General features: G+C 44.6%; 1 long non-coding RNA gene across 4 annotated transcripts in view; it reads right to left on the bottom strand.

The window, feature by feature from the left end:
- The window catches only part of SDK1-AS1 (SDK1 antisense RNA 1), a 108,539-nt gene that overhangs the window by 12,521 nt on the left and 71,510 nt on the right, over positions 1 to 24,508 (bottom strand). Inside the window, exons 2-3 of one of the 4 annotated variants that reach the window (XR_001744898.3) lie at positions 8,569 to 8,722; positions 1,879 to 4,713 (exon numbers count right to left, since the gene is read on the bottom strand). This is a non-coding gene — a long non-coding RNA (SDK1 antisense RNA 1). Of the gene's footprint in view, positions 1 to 1,878; positions 4,714 to 5,046; positions 8,723 to 24,508 lie in introns of those variants that run through there. The other 3 variants (XR_001744897.3, XR_007060194.1, XR_926997.4) reach the window with 3 other exon arrangements.

Here is a 24,508-nt window from a genome sequence, read left to right on the forward strand (position 1 = left end):
AACAAATTTTGTCTGCACTGGGAAACCAAAACATTTGCATGACTTGTTTTATTGAGGTGGCCTGGAACTGAACCTATGATATCTCTGAGGTATGCCTGTACGAGCTTGGGAATCCTTAATATAATAAATTCTCTTCCAACATAATATGATATAATCTATAATTATACATAATAATATAATAATTATAGTAGTAGGATAGACTAATTCTCTCCAATTAATTTATAAATTGAATTCAATCCCAAGATGGTTTATCAAGGAACTTTCAAAGCTTATTAAAAATGTTATATGTGCTTTGGAAGGCCAAGGCCAGAGGACTGTTGGAACTCAAAGTTCAAGACTAGCCTGGGCAACATAGCAAGACCTGTCACTATTCAATTAAATAACAATAAAAAAAGAGTCTGGGCACAGTGGCTCACACCTGTTATCCCAGAATTTTGGAGGCCGAGGTGGGCAGATCTCTTGAGCCCAGGAGTTTGAGACCAGCCTGGGCAACATGGCGAAACCCCATCTCTACTAAAATACAAAAATTAGCCAGGCACGGTGGCATGCACCTGTAGTCCCAGCTACTTGGGAGGCTGAGGTGCAAGGATCACTTAATCCCAGGAGTTGGAGGCCAGCCTAGGCAACATAGCAAGATCCCTTCTCTACAAAAGAGTAAAAAAAAAATTACCTGGGCATGGTGGTGTGGGACTGTGGTCCCAGCTACTTGGGAGGCTGAGGTGGGAGGATCACTTGAGCTTGAGTGGCAGAGGCTGCAGTGAGTTATGATTATGCCACTGCACTAAAGCCTGGGCAACAGAGTGAAGCCCTGTCTGGAAAAAAAAAAAATGGATAAGACTCAGAAATAGCCAAGTGGAAGAGGTGCCGAGGGTGGGGTATGGGGAGCGGCGTGGAGCTTCCAGCCCTCTTCTAGGCCCACCATCCTCCCAGCACCTCCATGTGTCCATCTACCCAGAAGCTCTCTGAACATCATCCTTTAGGGTTTTTATGGAGGTCCCATTACATGTGCATGATAGGTAAATCTTTGGCTATCGATGATTAGCTCAATCTCCAGTCCCTCTCCCCTCTCAAGGTGAGTGGGGGGCTGGGGGAGTGAGGCTGAAAGTTCCCACCCTCTAATCACAGGGTTGGCTCTTCTGACGACCAGCCCCCATCCTGAAGCTATCTAGGGGCCCACCAAGAGTCACCTTATTAGCATGAACTCAGGTATGGTTGAAAGAAGTTTGTCATAAATAACGAAAGAAGCTCCACTACCGCTATCACTCAGGAAATTGCAAGGATTTTAGAAGCTCTGTGTCAGGAACCATAGGAAGACCAAATATATATTTCTTACTGTGTCACCATGCGCTGTAGGAGCTCCTACACAGCTTCATAGTAACACAGGTCCAAGAAAGTCCATTGCATTATTGTTTCTAATAATTCCCAAATGCTCTGTCAGTAATGATAACATAATGTTCAGCTGCTAGTGATGGAAGTGTATCTCTAGAAAGGTTTATTCTCTCAAGTTAAAAAAAAAAGTTGAGGCCTGGTGCAGTGGCTCACGCCTGTAATCCCACCCCTTTGGGAGCCCAAGGCAGGTGGATTGAGATCAGGAGTTCGAGACCAGCCTGGCCAACATGGTGAAACCCCATCTCTACTAAAAATACAAAAATTAGCTGGGTGTGTTGGTGGGTGCCTGTAATCCCAGCTACTCAGGAGGCTGAGGCAGGGAATTGCTTGAACCCAGCAGGTGGAGGTTGCAGTGAGCCAAGATCACACCACTGCACTCCAGCCTGGGCAACAAAGTGAGACTCCGTCTCAAAAAAATAAATAAAATCAATCAATCAATCAATCAATCAATCAATCCAAGGCTGGGATGAAGGCTCCACAAAGTCACCAGGGACCTGGTTTCCTTCTGTCTTCCTGCTCTGTCGTACTGAGGAGGGAGGCTTCATCCTCAGCATCACTGCATGGTCTAATGTGGCTGCTGGAGCTCCAGCTATCAAATCCACATTCCAATCAACAGAAGAGGGCGAGGGAGGGAGGAAGAGCAAAAGCGAATGCCCCAGTCTGTCCCTCTTTGGAGAAGCGCTCTCATATATCCTCCCCTGAAAGTTCTGTTTATATTGTGGTGACCAGAATATATGTGTAGCCACACCTGGAAGCAAAAGAGGTAAAGAAATGTAGGCTTTTAGCTGGGCACATTGTTGCTTTGCGTATCTGTTACTAAAGGAGGGAAAAAGTATTTGGGAAGCAACCAGTAGTCTTTGTCACTCAACTTAAATATCTTTAGGAGAATGGATAAATAAATTACAGTGTATTTGTGCGATGGAGCACTATATAGTAGTTAAAATGAAGGAAATAGAGCTACGTGAATCCACATGGATAATTCTCAGAACAAAATCTCTTGCCCGAAAAAGCGAGTTGCTGAGTTCCAACTCTACGATGCCATTCATATAAAGTTTAAAAGCCTGCAAAACAACACAATGTATCTTTGATGGCTACATAAAATATATATGTTGGGAAGGTATAAAAACATAAATGAAAATGAAAAATACTAAACGCAAGATGATGGTTACCTCTGGAGAGGGAGAGCAAACAGTGTGATCAGAAACAGAGACATCCAGGCTTTCGATTACTACCTGTGATGTTGTATTTCTTTAAAAGACAAGAAAAAATTTGGAGGAAACAGCAAAATGTTAAGGCTTGTAAAAGTCGAATTGTGAGTACGCAGCATTTAACCCACCATTCCCTATATGTTTCTGTATGTTCCACATTTGTCATTGTATATGAGCTAGATAAAGAAGGAGATCAAGATCATCTAGAGGCATAACTTAATGAGATGTAACCCACATATGGCGAATTCCCACCTCTCAAGGATACAGCATGATGAATCTTTACAGAGTGAATTCCTCCAGAGAAGGGTATAGAATCTAGCATCCCAGAAATTTCCTCTCAGTGGCAGCCCCAGCAAAGAAAAAACACTATTGTGATATCTACCACCATTGATTGTATGGTTTTTTTGTTTTGTTTTGAGACAGTCTTGCTCTGTCTTGCCCAGGCTGCAGTGCAGTGGTGCAATCACAGCTCACTGCAGCTTTGAACTCCTGGGCTCAAGTGACCCTCCGGCCTCAGCCTCCCAGGTAGCTGGGTCTACAGGCGTGTGCCGTGACACCTAGCTAATCTCTTTTATTTTTTTGCAGAGATGGGGTCTCACTATTGTGAAACCCAAAAGTCTGAGACAGGTCTCAGTCCATTTAGGAAGTTTGTTTTGCCAAAGTTAAGGATGCGAGCCCATGACACGGCCTCAGGAGGTCCTGGTAACATGTGCCCAAGGTGGTCAGACCACAGCTTGGTTTTATACATTTTAGGGAGATGTGAGACATCAATCAACAAATGTAGGATGAACATTGGTTCAGTCCAGAAAAGGCCAGATGACTCAAAGTAGGGAGGGGGCTTCCAGGTACAATTGGTTGTATTCTACTGAGTTTCAGATGAGCCTCTCCAAAGGAGGCATTCAGATACGCATTCATCTCAGTGAACAGAGGAATGACATTGAGTCGAATGGGAGGCAGGTTTGCCCTAAGCAGTTCCCAGCTTGACTTTTTCCTTTAGCTTAGTGATTTGGGGGCCCCAAGATTTATTTTCCTTTCACGTTGTGTTTCCCAGACTTGTCTGGATCTCCTGACCTTAAACCTCCCTCCCTTCTTAACCTCCTAAAGTGCTGGGATTACAGGCATGAGCCAGCATGCATGGCCTGCGTTTTGTCTTTTGCAAGAAGGAATTGTCAGACGTGTGTGAATGAAAGCAACTCCATCTTAAATAGGAGCTGGGTAAAATGAGGCTGAGACCAACTGGGCTGCATTCCTAGATGGTTAAGGCATTCTAAGTCACAGGATGAGATAGGAGGTCAGCACAAAATATGGGCCATAAATACCTTGCTGATAAAGCAGCTTGCAGTGACGGAGCCGGCCAAAACCCACCAAAACCAAAGTGGCCACGAGAGTGACCTCTGGCCGTCCTCACTGCTACACTCCCACCAGCACCGGGACAGTTTACAAATGCCATGGCAACGTCAGGATGCTGCCCTGTATGGTCTAAAAGGGGGAGGCATGAATAATCCACCCCTTGTTTAGAATATCATCCAGAAATAACCATAAAAATGGGCAACCAGCAGCCCTCGGGGCTGCTCCGTCTATGGAGCAGCCGTTCTTTATTCCTTTACTTTCTTAATAAACTTGCTTTCACTTTGCACTACGGACTAGCCCTGAATTCTTTCTTGCGCGAGATCCGAGAACCCTCTCTTGGGGTCTGGATCTGGACCCCTTTCCTGTAACATATTTACGGCGATCACAAAGGGATTAAAGTGCAGAAACCCTACAGAATCACGCCAAATCATACGGTATATTCTCGTGAATGGCTGACTTCATTTTCTCAGCAGTATGTCTCTGGAGTTCCTCCGAAGAAGCCGTTTTCTAATCTTCAGCACTCATCCAATCAGAAGGCTGGAGCTCTGCGCTCGACATAAGGAAGAACTTCATCATTAACTCCCCGAGCCCTGCAAAGCAGCTGGGAGGGAGATCTAAGTTTTTGGAGTGGATTTCAGGATCCTTTGTACCCACAGCTGTTTAGGGAGCCGGCGTCCTGCTGACAGCTGTAGGTGGATTTGAAAATGTTCCCAAATTCCCTCCTGGCCCTCAGTTTCCCATTTCTCTTCCTCTCCTGATGTCGGCTCTAAATAAAGAAAAAACCAAGTGTCAGGGGCTGCAGAGAGGCTCCTGAGAATGCTCACATCTCAGCTCTCAGACAGCTCACAAGGGGTGTTAAAATAATTAAAGCTGAAAAGGGAGATGTAGGTATTATTTTTAGACAAGCGTCTAAGGTTTACCTGTTATACGTGCCCTTCATTCCTGTCCCTCATTCACTGCCAGCATCTTTTTTTTTTTCATTAAATAGAACAAAAATACACTTAAATTTTATGGCATGGCTAATAAAAAAAAAGGTTAAGTTGAACTCATTTCATCAAAGATTTGTGGTGGGATGACCCACTGTAGTTTTGTTGATGTGTTTGCTTTTTTAACAGACTTTATTTTTTAGGGTGGTTTTAGGTTTACAGCAAAATTGAGCAGAAGGTACAGAGAATTCCCATATACTGTCTGCCTCTCCAACACACACACAGCCTCCCACGCTATCAACATTCCTGCCATCGTGGCACATTTGTAATGGAAACCAAGAGTCTCTGAGACAAGTCTCAATCAATTTAGAAAGTTTATTTTGCCCAGGTTAAGGACATACCCATGACCCAGCCTCAGGAGGTCCTGATGACATGTGCTCAACCTGGTCAGGGTACAATTGGTTTATACATCATAGGCAGACATGAGACATCAGTCAATACAGGCAAGATATGCAATGGTTCAGGATGCGAAGGTGAGACAACTTGGAAACAGGGGCGTCCAGGTCATAGGTAGATTTAAAATTTTTCTGATTGGCAATTGGTTGAAAGAGTTATTATCCGTAGAAAGGAATGTCTGGGTTATGATAAAGGGTTGTGGAGACCAAGGTTTTGTTTTGTTTTGTTTTGTTTTTTGAGATGGAGTCTCGCTGTGTTGCCAGGCTGGAGTGCAATGGCACGATCTCAGCTCACTGCAACCTCCACCTCCTGGGTTCAAGCGATTCTCCTGCCTCAGCCTCCCAAGTTGCTGGGATGACAGGTGCGTGACAGCACGCCCAGTTAATTTTTGTATTTTTAGTAGAGACAGGGTTTCACCATGATGGCCAGGATGGTCTCGATCTCTTGACTTTGTGATCCGCCCGCCTCGGCCTTCCAAAGTGCTGGGATTACAGGCCTGAGCCACTGCACCTGGCCCAGATCAATGTTTTATCCTGCAAATGAAGCCTGTAGATATCAGGCTTTAGAGAGAATAGATTGTAAATGTTTCTTGTCAGACTTAAAGAGTCTGTTTTATCAGCAATTCCAAAAGGGAGGAGGGGATAATGAGGCATGTCTGGCTTTCTCTTTCCAACATGGCCTGAACTAGTTTTTTCAGGTTAGCTTTGGAATGCTCTTGGCCAAGAGGAGGGGTCCATTTAGATGGCTGGAGGACTTAGAATTTTATTTTTGGTTTACAGAAAAAATTGATGAACCTTACACTGTACATCATCATCACCCAGAGTCCAGAGTTTACATTAGGGTTCACTCTTGGTTGTGGTGTGTTTTCTCTGGGTTTGGACAAATGTCTAATGACATTGTAGGATCATACAGAGAGGTTTCACTACCCTAAAAATCCTGTGTGCTCCCTGCCAGCATTTTTTAACATCATCTCTTTCAAGTTGTTTTTGTCAAAAATGTTAAATTACCAAACAATGCGGCGATATGTTCTTGCAAAAGTAAAGGCTACAGATACGTGCTGATGGGTTCTCTCCACTGGTCTGGAAGCATGCAGCACTTACAAAGCGTCCTGACATGGGATCTGTTTCCTGCGTGTGCAGTGGTTGGTGGGTTACACTCTACCTGTCTGCTTCCCCATGTGTGGGAACTACAAGGTGGGCCACAGTTCCTGGTCAGCCACCACACCTAGCCAAAGACTTCCAGAGACTGCTCACAGGTCCCTGGAATCCATCCGTGAAATTGTCAGAGGCATTTGAACCAGAGCACCTCCATCTTGAAGAGGAACTGGGTAAAATGCGGCTGAGACCTACTGGGCTGCATTCCCAGATGGTTAGGCATTCTAAGTCACAGGATGAGGCAGGAGGTCAGCACAAGATACAGGACATAAAGACCTTGCTGATAAAATATGTTGCAGTAAAGAAGCCAGGCAAATCCCACCAAAACCAAGATGGCAACAAGAGTGACCTCTGGTCATTCTCACTGCTACACTCTCCCACCAGCATCATGAGTGTTTACAAATGCCATGGTAACGTCAGGAAGTTCCCCTATACGATCTAAAAACGAGAGGCTTGAATAGTCCACCCCTTGTTTAGCATATCTTCCAGAAATAACCATAAAAATGGGCAACCAGCTGCCCTTGGGGCTGCTCTGTCTATGGAGCAGCCGTTCTTTATTCCTTTACTTTCTTAATAAATTTGCTTTCACTTTACGGGCTCATCCTGAATTAATGAATTAATTCTTTCTTTCTTCTTCTTCTTCTTCTTTTTTTTTTTTTTTTTTTTTTTTTTTTTTTTTTTTTATGGAGTCTAGCTCTGTCGCCCAGGCTAGAGCTTGGCTTACTGCAACCTCTGCCTCCTGGGTTCAAGGGATTCTGCTGCCTCAGCCTCCTGAGTAGCTGGGATTACAGGTGCAGGCCACCATGACTAGCTAATTTTTGTTTTTTTTTTTGTTTGTTTGTTTGTTTTTTTAGTATAGACAGGGTTTCACCATGTTGGCCAGCCTGGTCTTGAACTCCTGAACTCAGGTGATCCACCTGTCTCGGCCTCCCAAAGTGCTGTGATGACAGGCGTGATTACAGGCGTGAGCCACCGTGCCTGGCCCACCTGGCTAATTTTTGTATTTTTAGTAGAGATGGGGTTTCACCATGTTGGTCAGGCTGGTCTCGAACTCCTGACCTCAAGTGATCCTCGGCCTCCCAACCAGGTCCAAGAACCGTCTCTGGGGGTCTTGATCAGGACCCCTTTCCTGTAATATCTTTCTGGTGTCCACAGAAGGGACTATACTGCAGAAACACCCAACCCAAAGGCTAATTTTGGGTAAGTGGTGGGATCCAGTAACAAAATTAATGGACCGACGGAAGTCCAATCCAAACTACAAAAGTAACAGAGACTTGTATAAAACACATGCACACACAGAAACACACACTGCACGGAGCCCCACAGAGAATTCCATTTTTGAATTATTCATTTTTCACTTCCATATTGTCATTGTTTTATCTGCAGTGGAGGGAGAATTCCCTGTTGCTGGTGAAGTTCATCAGAGTCTTATATGCTATGATCGGTGGGAGGGTGGATCACAAAATATGACAGTCTGAATTTGACTGCCAGATCTATTTGCCCACGCATTTAAACCCCATTCCCAACTTAGCTAAAGAAATTATCTCATAATAGTTTTGTTTTTGCATTGTGCAAAAGGACAGCACTAATTATCCAGGTAACTCAGGGCCTCCTGAAGCTCAGAAAACATTCCTGGAAAGAACACAATGAATAGTCACCTCTGCGAGAGGGGAATGCAGAGAGCTGCGATGCTGACTGGGAGAAAAGAGGAAATGCTGCTTGCCTTAGTGAAGCCGATTCAATCTCTGTGCAAGGGAGATACTGAGCTTATTTCAACAAAGAAGCAAAAATGAGATTGAGTTCATTCCCCATTCTGTGTAACCCAAACTGCATTCAAGGATAGTGTCTATTTGCTTGTAATTCCTCTTTGACTTGAGAAGGAAGAATCATGACTCTGGAGAAAGGAAGAATGGAAGAGAAGCAAGGTGCTGATTAGATGCTGGCTGAATTATGGAGAGTCTGTCCAGAAGAGGGGGGAGTTGGTGTACTTGAAGATTCAGCCAAGGAGAACAGTGGAAACCAATAAATTATTTTTGGCTTCTGAGAATAAGGACCTGTTGGTGGAAAAGGTTGGGAATGGAGTACCTGGGAAGGGAGGGAAGGGAGTGTTGTCCGATTTCGATGCAATGCCAGCATCTCTAAACTTGTAAGAGACAGCAGGCACAGTGGCCAGGACTCAGTTCCTCTGTCTGCAGCTCCCTGGGGCCACACAATGCAGTCCAGCTTTTGCCTTTGCCACCTGGAGTTAGGAGAGAAAAGCTTCGTGTTAAAACTTGAGGCACTCGAACGTTTATCAAATCTGAGATCTGCAAGTGTGTGCCTGCACCAGGGATTAGCAAACAACAAAATGCCATTAAAAGCTAAAAACAACAACAACAACTCTCTTTGCAGCATGTAGGTGCCTTTGCAAAGTTCTCTCTAAGCCAAAGTTCGTGGACTTCCAATCTTGTCAAAATCACTACTAATTAATACCTTTTCACTTCCCACTGAAAGAAAAACAATTCACCATTAAGTCAGGCAGCCTACCCATAATCACTCTAACACCTTCTATGTATGTTTTGAAACGTGCTCTCACATTTCATGATCCGTTTATTTTACAAGATGGGTAAACTGCAGACAATTATGGTGATAATACGGCTGAGGTGTTTGGTTTTTATCTGTTCGCAGTAAATTGTGGTTGTTCAAGCCTTCTCAGTAATGATTTCCATCCCTCTCTCAATCTCTTCCTATCACCTGGCGATAAATAGAATGTTTTTAAAAAAGAATGTTAGTTTACTATCATCATTATCACCTATTCAACTAGCAATATAATTAAATAATTTCTTGGTAGGTATGACTCAATTAAATTAATTACACTAACAGATATTCCATGGTACACGCCTCTAAAAATATAAAGCGTATTCACTGTTGTGTGTCATTTTTCTCTGTATAGGCAGGAAGAGCTATCTGGATAATTGAGCAGGCAATTTTGCTTTTGAAAGATGCTATCAAAGTACGCAAGGATTTAATTTCAGATTTTTTATTAGAAGACAGTGCCTTCTGCATGTAATTCTCCGCGGCTGATGCATTTCAGAGGTTCATGAGCAGCGGACACGAAGATAAAAACTGAAAGCCAGGGCTATGGGAATAGCTGGACCATCAGTGGAGTCTTGGCATCTTAGACCTGGTCTCTTGACTGCCTGTTCCTTCTGAAATGTCCTTAGGCCACTTTGGCCAGAGGCATTCTCGGACTTATGAAAAGGGGAACCTGTAGGCTGTTTGTTGAGGTCTAAAAGGATTAAGATTTGAAGGTGACACCCCTGTTGGGATAATCTCCCTCAAAACTCTTCTCTAAACAACTGAAGATAATATCCTTATACCTTTTGCCTGTGGTTCTCTCCAGGGGATGGTCTCAAAGTGTTCTTGAAAATGTGTTTGAAGAAAATAGGCAATGTATTAGTGTGATTTAAAGATTCCCTCCCAAAATTTTCACTTCCACGGGGCTCAGCGGGAAAATAGGGTAATGTAGAGTGAGCCTCTCTCCCTGGTGACATAGGTGGCCTCCTATTAATTAGGTTAGGGAAATGCAGAACTAACTTGCCATTTGGAGAAAGTCACATGAAATAGACTTCTTTTTTTCCGCCTCCAGAATTTTGAATTCATTGAACATGGCCACAGCAAGAGTCATTCTTTACAATCCTCTGACATTTGAAAGTAAGAAGCTTTAGACTTTATTCTAACGCTCTTTTACCTTCTTCCCGGTCCCTGACAACTGTCACACCAGGTCCACAGAGACAGCCACAACTCTAAAAGGGTCAGTTATATGGTAATAATGACAGCTAAGCTCCGCCAGTAGCACTCTAAATTTTGCAAAGTGGCTTTGCAAATATTAGCTCATTTGTTTATGAACCCAAGATCCCTAGCACTTAGCAGGGGTGGTGGTGGGGGTGTGAGTGGGAAGTGTGTTGGATTTCATTTATCTTTTAAAATCCTAACTGGGCTCAGTGTGGTGGCTCATGCCTGTAATCCCAATGCTTTGGGAGGTGGAGGTGGGAACATCACTTGAGGTCAGGAGTTCGAGACCAGCCTGGCCAATATGGTGAAACCCTGTGTCTACTACAAATACAAAAATTAGCCAAGTGTGATGGCACACCCTTGTAATCCCAGCTACTCAGGAGGCAGAGGCACGACAATTGCTTGAACCTGGGAGGCAGAGGCTGCAGTGAGCCAAGACTGGACCCCTCCACTCCAGCCTGGGCAACATAGCAAGACTCTGTCTCTACAAAATATAAAATTAGCCAAGCATCGAGGGGGTCTTAGCATCTTAGACCTGGGATTAGTGGTGCACGCCCATAGTCCCAGCTACTTGGGAGGCTGAGACAGGAGGATTGCTTGAATTCAGGAGTTCAAGGCTGCATTGAGCTATGATCTCACCACTGAACTCAAGCCTGGGCAACACAGTGAGACCCTGTCTCAAAAAAAAAAAAAACTAATAAATAAAAAATAAAAATAGGGCTGGGCTCAGTGGCTCATGTCTATAATCTTACCACTTTGGGAGGCCACAACAGGAGGATTGCTTGAGCCCAGGAGTTCAAGACCAGCCTGGGCAACATGGTGAGATCTTGTCTCTACTAAAAATAAAAAATGAGCCAGGTGTGATGGTGCACACCTGTGGTCCCAGCTACTTCGGAGGCTGAGGTGGGAGGATTGCTTGACCGCAGGAAGTCAAAGCTGCAGTGAGCCATGTCACACCACTGCACTCCAGCCTGGATGACAGCACAAAACCCCGTCTCAAAAAAAAAAAAAAAAAAAAAAAAAAAAAATATATATATATATATATATATATATATGGCCAGGCACAGTGGCTCACACGTGTAATCCCGGCACTTTGGGTGACTGAGGCAGGCTTATGACTTGAGGTCAGGAGCTTGAGACCAGCCTGGCCAACATGGTGAAACCCCGTATCTACTGAAAATACAAAAATTAGCCTGGCATGATAGTATATGCCTGTAATCCCAGCTACTCAGGAGGCTGAGGCAGGAGAATCGCTTGAACCTGAGGGGCAGAGGTTGCAGTGAGCCAAGATTGCACCACTGCACTCCAGCCTGGGTGACAGAGCAAGACTCCATCTCAACAAAATAAAATAAAATTAACGAATTTAATTAAATAAATAACTAATTTAAAAACAAGATCAACCATAATAGGAATCAAAGCAAAGGGAAATCTACCCATTCTTCTTTGTAGAATGTTCTCTGCCTGTCTCTCTCTCTCTGCATTAATTTCAAATCTGTATTGAGTTCCACGGGCTCTGGACAGATTTTATTTGGGTGCTATGCTTTGGGGCCAATGTGCTCTCTGTAGTGGTGCTGAAGGTCTGTTGCAGGTAACCACGTCCTGCCTCTTTTGCGATCACCCACTCTGAAATGTGATCTAGCTCCCTTCTTCTCCCATCCTTATTACTGATGGAACAGATTTATCACTGTGAGGCCAGCACAGCTGTTTCGTGACTCACGGGAATATCATATTTAGCATGTGTTCCCTAGTGAATGTATTTATTTAGATGACACATAATATTGTTGAAAAGCCAAGTCTGCATTGCTCTTAAACCCAGCCTTATGGATGAACGCGGAGGAGTGCAAAAGGCAGAATGAGCTCATTTGGGAGAGGCAGCTGGTCAGAGAGTCCTTTTGGGTCATTCATGCAATGAGCTCACACTAGAAATCTAAACAACAGGGAAATCGACCCTGGGTGCTGAACTACAGGGCACAAGAATAGGAAGCAGCCTTATAAAGCAGCTCATCCTAAGCATTTGTGGCTCACAAACATTGCCACTAAGCATGGGGGACCGTTGATGGCACACCAGCCTTCTAAAGAGAAAACCACAGTCATCTACCACTTGAGTTGATAGAGTAGCATCTTGGGAATTGATAGCAGCATTATGGCTTTTATCCTCTCTTGAGGTCATCCTCTGGAAGGTAACAAGGCCATTAGCACTGAACAAGCCAGATGGCCCACTTAGCTGACAGCGGGCTCCCCTCTTAACGCCCTACCCCCCACCCCCAATTCATCTTCCCAGTCTTGGTGTTGCTGTGCCTCACTGAGCGAGGGCTCAGAACATCTCCCCAAACACAGGGTATTGGAGGGAAGGTGTGCTAATGAAGTTAATGTGTGAAAACATGAGCAACCTTCCGGCTGGGCGTGATGGCTCACGCCTGTAATCCCAGCACTTTGGGAGGCCGAGGCAGGCAGATCACTTGAAAGTCAGGGGTTCGAGACCAGCCTGGCCAACATGGTGAAACCCGTGTGTCTACTAAAAATATAAAAATTAGCCGGGCGTGGTGGCACATGCCTGTGATCCCAGCTACTCGGGAGGCTGAGGTGAGAGAATTGCTGGAACCTGGAAGGCGGAGGTTGCAGCGAGCCGAGATTGTGCCATTGCACTTCAGCCTGGACGACAGAGCAGCACTCCGTTTCAAAAAAGAAAAGAGCCACCTTCCCATTATGTTTTTAATATCCTTCTTGGTGATGTCTGGAGCCCGTGACTCTGCCGAGACAGCGTGCTCAGGGCCAGTCTCCAAGAGCTCCCATTTTCTTAAACACATCGCCTTGAACTTACTCACATTTGATCTCATCTCCCTCCTTCCTTCCCACTGATACAGAGTCTTCAGATCTTTCTGTTTTCCTGTCATCCTTTGCCCAACCCTCATCCTTTCATCTGCAAACCCAGAGCTTTCTCTGCTCCCCCCAGTCCCACCTCTTCCAGCTCTTGTAAAAGAATATTAAATAAAACCAGGGCTGGCACTGATCTTTCAGAAATCTTACTCTTGACACATCCCTATCAAAAAAAGTCTCTGTCCCTTCATCCCTGGCATTTATTTTTTGCTCTTTAGTATTCTCTGATTGTGTCACTGTAGCTCCCATTTCAATCAATTGGTAGTTCAATTATCTCCAAATTCCTCGAAGTCATGAAAGTTCAAGTAGGTATTTTTCAAACTTTTTTGCAGCAGTGAAACCCTGTTACCCTGCTGTTGTGCTACCACTAGACATCCAGAAGAGTGTGAATTTGTAGATTAAGACCAGAAAAAGTACTCGAGCATCTTGTAGCTGATTGTGAATATCAGCCCAGGGAATGTGCAACACAGAAAACAGCCCTTTCAGGCTGGGCATGCTGTTGCACACCTGTAGTCCCAGCTACTTGGGAATCTGAGGTGGGAGGATCACTTGAGCCCAAGAGGTCGAGGCTAGAGTGAGCCATGATTGTGCCACTGCACTCCAGCCTGGGCCACAGAGTGAGACCCTGAAAGAAAGAAAGAAAGAGAGAGAGAGAGAGAGAAGGAAGGAAGGAAGGAAGGAAGGAAGGAACGAAGGAAGGAACGAAGGAAGGAAAGAAGACAAAAAAGGAAAGAAAAGAAAAAAAAAGGAAAGAAAAGAAAAGAAAAAAAAAAAAAGCCCCTTCCTCCTCAGGTCGTCTTTGAGGCTTTGCAGAAATGGCCTCAGATATAGGATATAGAGGACCCTATCTTCCCCAGGCTGCCCTTCATCTTCCCTTTTCTACCCACTCCCAAACCAGGGTCTTGACCACCAACTTCTGATTTCCTGCACAGTCAAAGTCAGGGAAACTGACTTTTTCCTGACAAAGTCAGGAAACCATATATATATATACATTTTGTATTTTTTGAGATGGGGTTTTGTGCTGTCACCCAGTGATCATGGTTCACTACAGCTTTGACCTCCTGGGCTCAAGCAATCCTCCCACCTCAGCCTTTCTTTGTTCTATTCTGGAGAGCAAGGGAGATTGCCACAAATTTCTGTGGGTGTAGTGGTAGTGATGGTGGTGGTGATGGTGATATTGTGGTGGTGGTGGTGATGATGATGGTGAAGATGATGATGGTTAAGATAATGATGGCAATGATGTTGGTGGTGATGATGATAATGAAGATGATGATGGTGATGATGATGGTGGTGATAAGGATAGTGGTGGTGAGGATGATGATATTCATGATGATGATATTTGTGTTGGTGGTGATGATGATGATGGTAAAGATAATGATGGCAATGATGTTGGTGATGATAATGAAGATGATGATGGTGATGATGATGTGGAGATAATGATGGTGGTGGTGAGGATGATGATGTTCATGATGATCATACTGATGGTGGTGGTAATGATGATGATAGTGGTGGTGAGGAAGATAATGAAGATGATTATGATGGTGGTGATAATGATGATGATGATAATGGTGGTGGTGATGATGGTAGTGGTTGTGGCGACAATAAAATAGTGATGATGGTTGTGATCATAATGGTAAAGATGATGGTGATAATGATGATGGTGGTGGTAATGATAATGATGATGATGATGCTGGTGTATGTATTAGACAGGGTTCTCTATAGGGACAGAACTAATAGAATATATATATATGGGAGTATATAAGTACTCTTTAATATATATATTAAGGAGTATTGACTCACACAATCACAAGGTCCCACAATAGGCTGTCTGCAAGCTGAGGAGCAAGGAAGCCAGGCTGAGTCTCAAAGCTAAAGAACTTGGAGTCTGATGTTCAAAGGCAGGAAGCATCCTGCATGGGAGAAAGATTTAGGCTAGGAGGCTAAGCCAGTCTAGTCTTTTGACATTTTTTCTGCCTTTTATTCTGGCCTTGCTGGCAGCTGATTAGATTGGGCCCACCCAGATTGAGGGTGTATCTGCCTTTCCCAGTCCACTGACTCAACATCCTCACAGACACACCCAGGAACAATACTTTGCATCCTTCAATCCAATCAAGTTGACTCTCAATATTATCTATCACGGTGGTGATAATGATGAAGATGATAAAGGTGGTGGTGGTGATGAAGATGATGGTAGTAGTGGTAGTGATGATGATGGTTGGGGTGATGATGAAGATGATAGTGATGGTGAAGATCATGGTGGTAGTGCTGGTGATAGTGGTTGTGGTGATGATGGTGATGATAATGAAGATGATGATGATGGTGATAATGATGGTGATGATGATGATAATCATGGTGGTGATGATGGTGGTGGTGGTGGTGGTGGTGAAGATGATGGTGGCCGTGCTGGTAATGGTGGTGGTGATGATGTAGTTGTGATAATGATGATGACAGCAGCAGTTAACAGTGTAAGGCATCATTTGTAGTGGTTTGCATGTATTAGCTCAGGAAGTCCTTATCAGCCAAGTATTATTAGGATGATCTACCCCATTCTACAGATGAAGAAACTGAGCCATAGAACCATTAAATAACTCCCTTAAGATGACACAGCTAGTAAAGGCGGAACTAGGACTTAGACCCAGGCAGTCTAGCTCTAAAGCCCACACTCCCAGCCACTCACTAATGGTGCAAGTGGTTTAGAGTCTTTGGGGTGGTAAATCTAGAAGCAAATGAACTTGTATTGCATTTAAGTAGAACCATCATTAATTATGTTAAATGACCTCCACAAGCAGTAAGGATGGAATGGAAGGTGAGGGGACAGAGAATCCCACCATGATATACTTTTTCACAAAAGGAATCTTTTTTTTTTTTTTTTTTTGAGATGGTTTCTCACTCTGTCACCCAGGCTGGAGTGCAGTGGCGCGATCTCGGCTCACTGCAACCTCTGCCTCCCGAGTTCAAGCAATTCTCCTGCCTTAGCCTCCTGAGTAGCTTGGATTACAGGTGCACGCCACCATGCCCGGCTAATTTTTTTGTGTATTTTCAGTAGAGATTGGGTTTCACCATGCTGGCCAGGCTGGTCTCGAACTACTGACCTCGAGTGATCCACCCGCCTCAGCCTCCCAAAGTGCTGGGATGTCAGGTGTGAGCCACCGTGCCTGGCCGAAATCTTATGAAGAAAATAATTACAAGTAGAACTGTTTGAGGGGAAACAGGTAAGGGGGCTGGACCCTTGTTTCCTGATCTCTCCAATGACCCTCTGCAGAGGCCCCAAAGGCTCTGCTTCCAGAGACCCCAGGGCTCTATAGAATTCAGCTATACTACTCATCAGTTCAGATATGGTAGATAATCCTTGCTCTCACTTATGACCCTCCTGCTAGGTACTTTTCTTATCAGTTTTAATCCTCAGAACTGCCTTTGGAGTGAGGTGTGATTATCCTAATTTTACAGGTGAGGAGAATGAAGCTCAGGCAAGGTTTGCAACCAGACCAAGTTCACAAAGTGTAAGTTGGTGGCAGAGCTGGGATTTGAGCCAGGACAGTATGACTCAGAAAATGTACTGTTTTCCAGATAAATTGGCTGCTTGCTGTACATCTCCCATGTAGAAATTAGATCCATCAGTTTTCCTTTGTACACACACTGACTCACCCTCTTGGGCCTTGGAAGACTCTAGCACAGCCATCAAGTATGATTTCTCTGGGCAGCACCTGCGTGGCAGCTCTTTCTCCCACTCTCCATTCATTCCCTGCCCTGTAGGTTATTTTTAAGTCCACAGGCTTCTCTCTTTTATTTCAACTGCCACCAGCTTGGTCCAGATGGTGGCTGAGAGCTGACTCATCTGCGCTGTAATTCCCCAGGCCCCTCTGAGCCACTCTTATGGCCAGGGTCACATCTGTGAGCTGACATCCTCTCCACTATAGTGGCCTTCTGGGCTGACAGTTCCCACATTCCTGCCAATCAACCATCCCAGTTTCATCCATGAGCTCCTGCAGCTCTCTCAGGTGGATGCCATCTGCTTGCAGTGATTGATCTGCACTTCATTCTTTCCAATCTGGCTTAGAACATCCTGGTATTGACCACGGTGTGATCTAGTACCTGTCTGTGTAGAGGCTATTCAAATAGCCTCTGTAGACCCAGGCTAGAAGTCCATTCAATCCATTAACTGTTTTCTTTTTATTCTTTCCTCTGCAGGGAACATCTATTAGTTACACCATCCTTTCCAAAAATGGAGTGAGCAACTGAGTTGGTGGTTTGTGCTCTCCTTGCAGGATACTGACCTTATACTGTGATCAGCAGGTTGTGTTGCTTAGTGAATGAGAGTATCGGCATTAGAGTCAGGCTGACAAGAGCTGAAGTGCTGTCTCCATCACTTCCCACCTGTGAAGCTTGTCTGGCCAGTACCACTTTGTCTCTCTTTGGGGAAATGATCTCCTCCACACGCCATCATGGTAGTTGCACTGGAGATCACCAATCACAGTACACATCCTCCTTGGCCACAGAAATTAGCCCAGGGATGGGTCACTAGAAGCTTCCCTGAAATGTTTCTAACTGGAGCCCATGGGGGATGCTGTTTCTGATCATATGGACAATTCCAGAGCTACTCCTGACCCTTTTCTCAGTTTTCCAATGGAGAGACATGTTTGAAGCACATAAGAATGATGCCAATAAGCACAGAGAATGAGAAGCAAGAGATAGGGGGGAAGAGAGACATAGGGCATGATTAGGAGAGTGTCATCCCGAGAACTCAGCATCTGTGGTCTCCCAAATCAGCTCTATCCCTTGCCTTTCCAGGCATATGAGCCAATAATTCTTTTTCTTTTTTTTTTTTTTTTTTTTTTTTTTTTGCCTGAGCTAGTGTGAGTTGAGGTCCTGTAGATTGCAGCCAATGTCCAGATCAATGCAACCTCACGATGAGTTTCTTGCTGAGTCTCTAGAAGTCTTTCCTCTTCAATATCACTGAAAGGTCTTTTCTCATGCAATTGGTTTGAGAATCTCTTGCAAGCTACACAACAAAGTCTTGGCCAATTATGTCTGGCTTTGCCTCAAAGGATTCTCTACTTCTGTTTGAACAACTTGTCTTTTTTTTTTTCTTTCAGTGATCTAAACTATTTACAAAGCACTTTCACACCCTGTGCCTCAGTAAGTGCTGCCAACCACCCTTTGAGACAGGAATCTGTTCATTCAGTCAACAGCCTTTCTAGTGCTACCACTGTTTTTGGCACTGAGAATATACTGGTGAATTAGACAAAGCTCCCACTTCATAAGCTTACATTTCAGTGGGCGAGACAAACAAGTGAGTAAATACATAAATAATATAACTTCTAGAGGCAGTAAGTCCTCTGAGAACAAATGGCGTGGGGAGGTTGGGTGCCATTTTAGACAAGATGAACACAAAAGGTGATAGGTAGTCATAAGTGATTGTAAGGTGTATTAGTCTGTTCTCATGCTGCTAATAAAGACATACCTGAGACTGGGTAATTTATAAAGAAAATGAAGTTTAATGGAGGCTGGGTATGGTGGCTCACACCTGTAATCCCAGCACGTTGGGAGGCCGAGGTCGGCAGATCACCTGAGGTCGGGAGTTCGAGACCAGCCTGATCAACACGGAGAAACCCTGTCTCTACTAAAAATGGAAAATTAGCCAGGCGTGGTGGTGCATGCCTGTAATCCTAGCTACTCGGGAGGCTGAGGCAGGAGAATTGCTTGAACCTGGGAGGCAGAGGTTGCAGTGAGCTGAGACTACGCCATTGTACTCCAGCCTGGGCAACAAGAGCAAAAACTCCAGCAAAAAAATTAAAAAACAAAAGAGATTTAATGGACTCACAGTTCCACTTTGCTGAGGAGGCCTCACAATCATGGTGGAAGGCAAAAGGCACGTCTTACATGGTGGCAGACAAGAGGGAATTTTTGTGGGGAAACTCCCCCTTATAAAACCATCAGATCTCATGAGACTTATTCACTATCAGGAGAAGAGCACAGGAAAGACTCACCCCCAAGATTCAACTGCCTCCCACCAGGTCCTTCCCAGGACCTGTGGGAGCTACAGTTCAAGATGAGATTCGGGTGGAGACACAGCCAAATCATATCGGGAAAGGGTTCATAGAAGGCCTTCCTTTTTTCCTTGCTTCCTTCTTTCCTTCTTAAAAATTTTTAAATGTTTTTTGGAGACAGGGTCTCACTCTGTGTCCCAGGCTGGAGTGCAGTGGCACAATCATGGCTCACTGCAGCCTCAACCTCCCAGACTCAAGCAATCTTCCCACCTCAGCCTCCCAAGTAGCTGGGACTACAGGCATGCACCACCATGCCCAACACATTTTTAAATTTTTGTAGAGACGGGGTCTACCTATGTTGTCCAGGCTGGTCTTGAACTCCTGGGCTCAAGTGATTGTCCTGCCTTGGCCTCCCGACGTGCTGGGATTCTAAGTGTGAGCCACTAAGCCTGGCAGAAGGCCTTTCTGAAGAATTGACTTTCAATCAGAGATCTACACAGAGTCAGGGAGTAAGCCCATGAAGAGTATTCCAGGGAGATGCTACAACAAGTCCAAAGGCCCTGAAGCAGGAAAGAGATTGGCGTGATCTAAGAAAGCAAGGCCAGCTGGATGGCGTGAACGTGAGGAGTGAGTCTAGGCAGCTTTTAGCCCATATGGTACAATTACGTTTGTTAGAAAAAGGTGCCCTTTCTGGGTAGACTAATTACCACTGACATCATTGTTCAGGACACACCTGGACAACTGTACCAGTTAATTGTGGAGACAGACTTAGGAGACAAGGTCAGAGAAGGACGGGAGCCAGAACATTGGATTTTACTCTAAGCTGATGCTGCCTGAGAAGAACAGAACATGATGTTCTGTATGTAACTTAAACTTTTCCAAAAGCCACATTGTGAAAAAAACAAAAAGAAAGAGGTAAGGTTGGGCGCAGTGGCTCATGCCTGTAATCCTAGCACTTTGGGAGGCCAAGGCAGAAGGATTGCTTAAGTTTAGGAGTTCAAGACCAGCTTGGGCAACATAGTGAGACCTCCTCTCTACTAAAAATTTAAAAAATTGTCCTGGTGTAGTAGGGCACACTCGTAATCCCAGCACTTTTGGGGGCCAAGGCAGGAGGATTGCTTGAGCCCGGGAGTTCAAGACCAGCCTGGGCAATGTAGTGAGACTCCATCTGTAATAAAATTTTAAAAATTAGCCAGTTTCGGTGGGCCATGCCTTAGTTCCAGGTGAGGTATGAAGATTGCTTGAGCCCAAGAGTTTGAGGCTGCAGTGAGCTATGAACGTGCCACTGCCCTCCATCTAGCCTGGGTGACAGAGCAAGCCCCGTCTCAGGAAAAAAAAAAAAAAAAAAAGAAGAAGAAGAAGAAGAAGAAAAACAAGAGGTAAAATAATTTAAATAATATGTTGTTTAGCCAGTATATCTAAAATGTTAACATTTCAACATGTGATCAATGTAAAAAAATTACGAGATATATTTAACTATTTTAAAAATAAAATTTCTTCAAAATCTGGTGCATACTTTTATACTTACAGAACTTCTCAACTAAAAATAAAAATAAAGGAAAAAAAGAAAACTTCCTAACTCAGGTATTAAATTTTTTTTTTTTTTTTGAGATGAAGTCTTGCTCCGTTGCGCAGGCTGGAGTGCAGTGGCGCGATCTCGGCTCACTGCAATCTCTGCCTCCCAGGTTCACGCCATTCTCCTGCCTCAGCCTCCAGAGTAGCTGGGACTACAGGCGCCCGCCACCACACCCAGCTAATTTTCTGTATTTTTAGTAGAGACAGGGTTTCACTGTGTTAGCCAGGATGGTCTCGATCTCCTGACCTCTTGATCCGCCCGCCTTGGCCTCCCAAAGTGCTGGGATTACAGGCTTGAGCCACCAAGGCCGGCCTAAATTTTTATCAGAAATGCTTAAGCAATATTTGGATTTCTTAAGTTTATGGTGAAAAGTAGATTCACATACCCAGGTTGTTCCAATTGTACTTAAACAGTTTCAAATAATAAAACTGGACACCAATTTTTAAATTTAAATTAATTAAAAATAAAACTGACTTAAATATTTCCTCAATTGCACCAAGCCACATTGCTTTTTTTCTTTATTTCTTCATATGTCTTGTAATAATTCATTATTTTCAGATTGATGACAATTTTTCATGATTGTTATACGTGAATTGGAAGTATTTGTCAAATTTTAAGGTGACAACATTGACATTCTTGTTTTCATTCTGCTTTGATGAGTCTGTATAGAACTTGCTTTTTGTTTTTTGTTTTTAAATTTCAACTATTATTCTAGATATGGGGGGTACACGTGCAGGTTTGTACATGGGTATATTGCACCCAGGTAGTGAGCATAGTACCCAATGGTAGTTTTTCAATGCCCCCGCATCCTTCCTCTTCTTTCTAGTAGTCCACAGTGCCTACTGTTCCCATCTTTATGTCCATGAGTGGTCAATGTTTGGCTCCCATTTATATGTGATAATAAGCAGTATTTGCTTTTCTGTTCCTGCATTAATTTGCTTAGGATTACAGCTTCCAGCTCCATCCATGTTGCTGTAAAGGACATGATTTCATTCTTTTTCATGGCTGCATACTATTCCATGGTATATATGTACCACACTTTCTTTATCCAGTCTGCCACTGATGGGAACCTAGGTTGATCCCATGTCTTTGCTATTGTGAATAACGTGGTGATGAACATATATGTGCATGCATCTTTTTGGCATAATGATCTGTTTTTCTGGGTATATACCCAGTAATTGGCTTGCGGGGTCAAATGGTAGTTCAGACACTTCTCAAAAGAAGACATACAAGCAGCCAATAATCATATGAAAAAACTCCCATCATCACTATTCAACAGAGAAATGCAAATCAAAACCACAATGAGATACCATCTCACACCAGTCAGAACAGCTACTATTAATAAGGTCAAAAAACAACAGATGCTGGTGAGGCTGCAGAGAAAAGGGAATGCTTACACACTGTTGGTATAAGCAGATGGGTGGTGGGGATGGAAATGAGTTCAGCCACTGTAGAAAGTCGTTTGGAGATTTCTCAAAGAACTTCAAATAGAATTTGTTTTTAAAAGCATACAAGCCATGTTTCAAGTGCTCAATAGCCACTTATGGTTGTTATCCTCTTGCACAGAGCAGGTCTAAGTGTTCTGGGGGCCACTATACAGTTGAGAATAGGGAATGACATCATCTTGTTACCTTCTAGAACAGGGTGTCCAATCTTTTGGTGTCCGTGGGCCACACTGGAAGAAGAATTGTCTTGGGCCATACACAGAATGCACTAACACTAATGATAGCTGATGAGCTAAAAATGAAAAATGTAAAAAAAACTCATAATGTTTTTTGTTGTTGTTGTTGTTGTTTGTTTGTTTGTTTTGAAACAGAGTCTCACTCTGTCATCCAGACTGGAATGCAGTGACGCGTTCTTGACTCACTGCAACCTCCGCCTCCCGGGTTCAAGTGATTCTCCTGCCTCAGCCTCCCGAGTAGCTGGGATTACAGGCATGCACCACCACAGCTGGCTAATTTTTGTATTTTTAGTAGAGATGGGGTTTCACCATGTTGGTCAGGCTTGAACTCCTGACTTCAAGCAATCCACCCATCTGGGCCTCCCAAAGTGCTGGGATTACAGGCGTGAGCCAACACGCCTGGCCTAAAAATCTCATAATGTTTTAAGAAAGTTTATGAATTTGTGTTGGGCTGCATTCAAAGCTGCCCTGGGCCACATGTGGCCTGTGGGCCATTGGTTGGACAAGCTCATTCTAGAAGAATTTTTCTGGAAACTGCATGAAGAACAGACTTGTACAGGGACCAGAATGAAAGCAAGAACGGTGGTAACAGTGCAGGTGAGAGGAGATGAGGACAGTGCCGGGTGTTAAGGTGGTGCTGAGAGTGGTCAGATTTAGGATCTATTCTGAAGGCTGGGCTCACAGCCTCTGCTACCAAAATAGACATCTCATGGAAGACAAAGGGAGAGACTGAGAAGGGAGAAAGAGAGGGGAAGAGAGAGGGGGGAGAGGGAGAGAGGAGGAGGAGAGAGAAAGAGAGAGAGGAGAGAGAGAGGGAGAGAGAGGGGAAGGGAGGGAGAGAGAGAGAGAGATGGAGACAGAGATAGTCAGAGTTGGGGGAGAGAGAGGGGAAGAGAGAGTGGGAAAGAGAGAGGGAGGGAAAGAGGGAGGGAGAGTGAAGAAAGGGGAGAGAGAGGAAGGAGGGAGAGAGGGAGGGAAAGAGAGAAAGGAAGAGAGAGAAGGGGAGACAGAGCAGAGGGAAAGAGAGAGGGAGGGAGAAAGAGAGGGGAAGGGAGTGGGAGAAACAGAGAGGAAGGAGAGGGAAAGATGGGGGAGGAGGGAGAGAGGGGAGAGAGAGGGAGACAGAGAAAAGGGGAGAGAGGGAGACGGTAGAGAGACAGGGAGGGGATGACCAACTGTTAACACTTAAGCACTTCGCTCTGTCAACACTGTTAAGTGTTAAACTGTTAACACTAGGAGAAAGGTATATGTGTTCATTGTACTAGTGTTTACACTTTTCCATAAATTTGAATTTCTTTTTTTCTTAAGAGCCACTGACTTTTAAAGCCACTTGGCCTTGACTTTCTGTTCAATGAGCAATTTGTCCGGCCCATGGCCAGGCAGTGGGAAATCAATGGTCGCCATCAATCCCGGGACTCCCGTGGCCACATGGCTGCTCCCAGTTAACGTTTCTCTCCACCCTGCCGTCCCGACGGGTGCCTGGCAGTGTGCGTGGAGGATGGAGGTGTGGGTGAGGAGTGCAGCAAATTCCCTCTAGGACTTGAGTTAGGATGTCCAGTCCTGGGATCCCCTAGTGCATCCTTCAGTGGGGCAGGTGCAGGGGCTCCCCTGATGTTTATGTCATCCTTCTCCAAGCAGGGTTTCTCCTTCCATTTGCCTGTCCCTCTTTTTTTTTTTCTTTCTTTCTTTCTTTTTTTTTTTTTTTTTTTTTGAGACAGTCTTGCTCTGTCACCCAGGCTGGAGTGCAGTGGTGCAATCTTGGCTCACTGCAACCTCTGCCTCCCGGGTTCAAGCGATTCTCCTGCCTCAGCCTTCTGAGTAGCTGGGACTACAGGCTCATGCCACTATGCCCGGCTTATTTTTGTATTTTTAATAGAGACGAGGTTTCGTCATGTTGGCCAGGCTGGTCTTGAACTCGAACTCCTGACCTCAGGTGATCTGCCCACCTCAGCCTCCCAAAGTGCTGGGATGACAGGCGTGAGCCACCATGCCCGGCCATGTTCCTCTTTTTCTTGGGCGGTTTTTGGCCTAGAAGCTCATCTCATCAATTGTTCTCCTGCCACCAGTTCTCTGCGATGCCAGCTATGCCAAGATCTCCATTTGCTGCCAAGGAGCTGTTCAAGCCACCCT

The sequence above is a fragment of the Homo sapiens genome, chromosome 7 (genome assembly GCF_000001405.40).
Source record: "Homo sapiens chromosome 7, GRCh38.p14 Primary Assembly".
NCBI classification, from domain to species: Eukaryota; Metazoa; Chordata; class Mammalia; order Primates; family Hominidae; genus Homo; species Homo sapiens.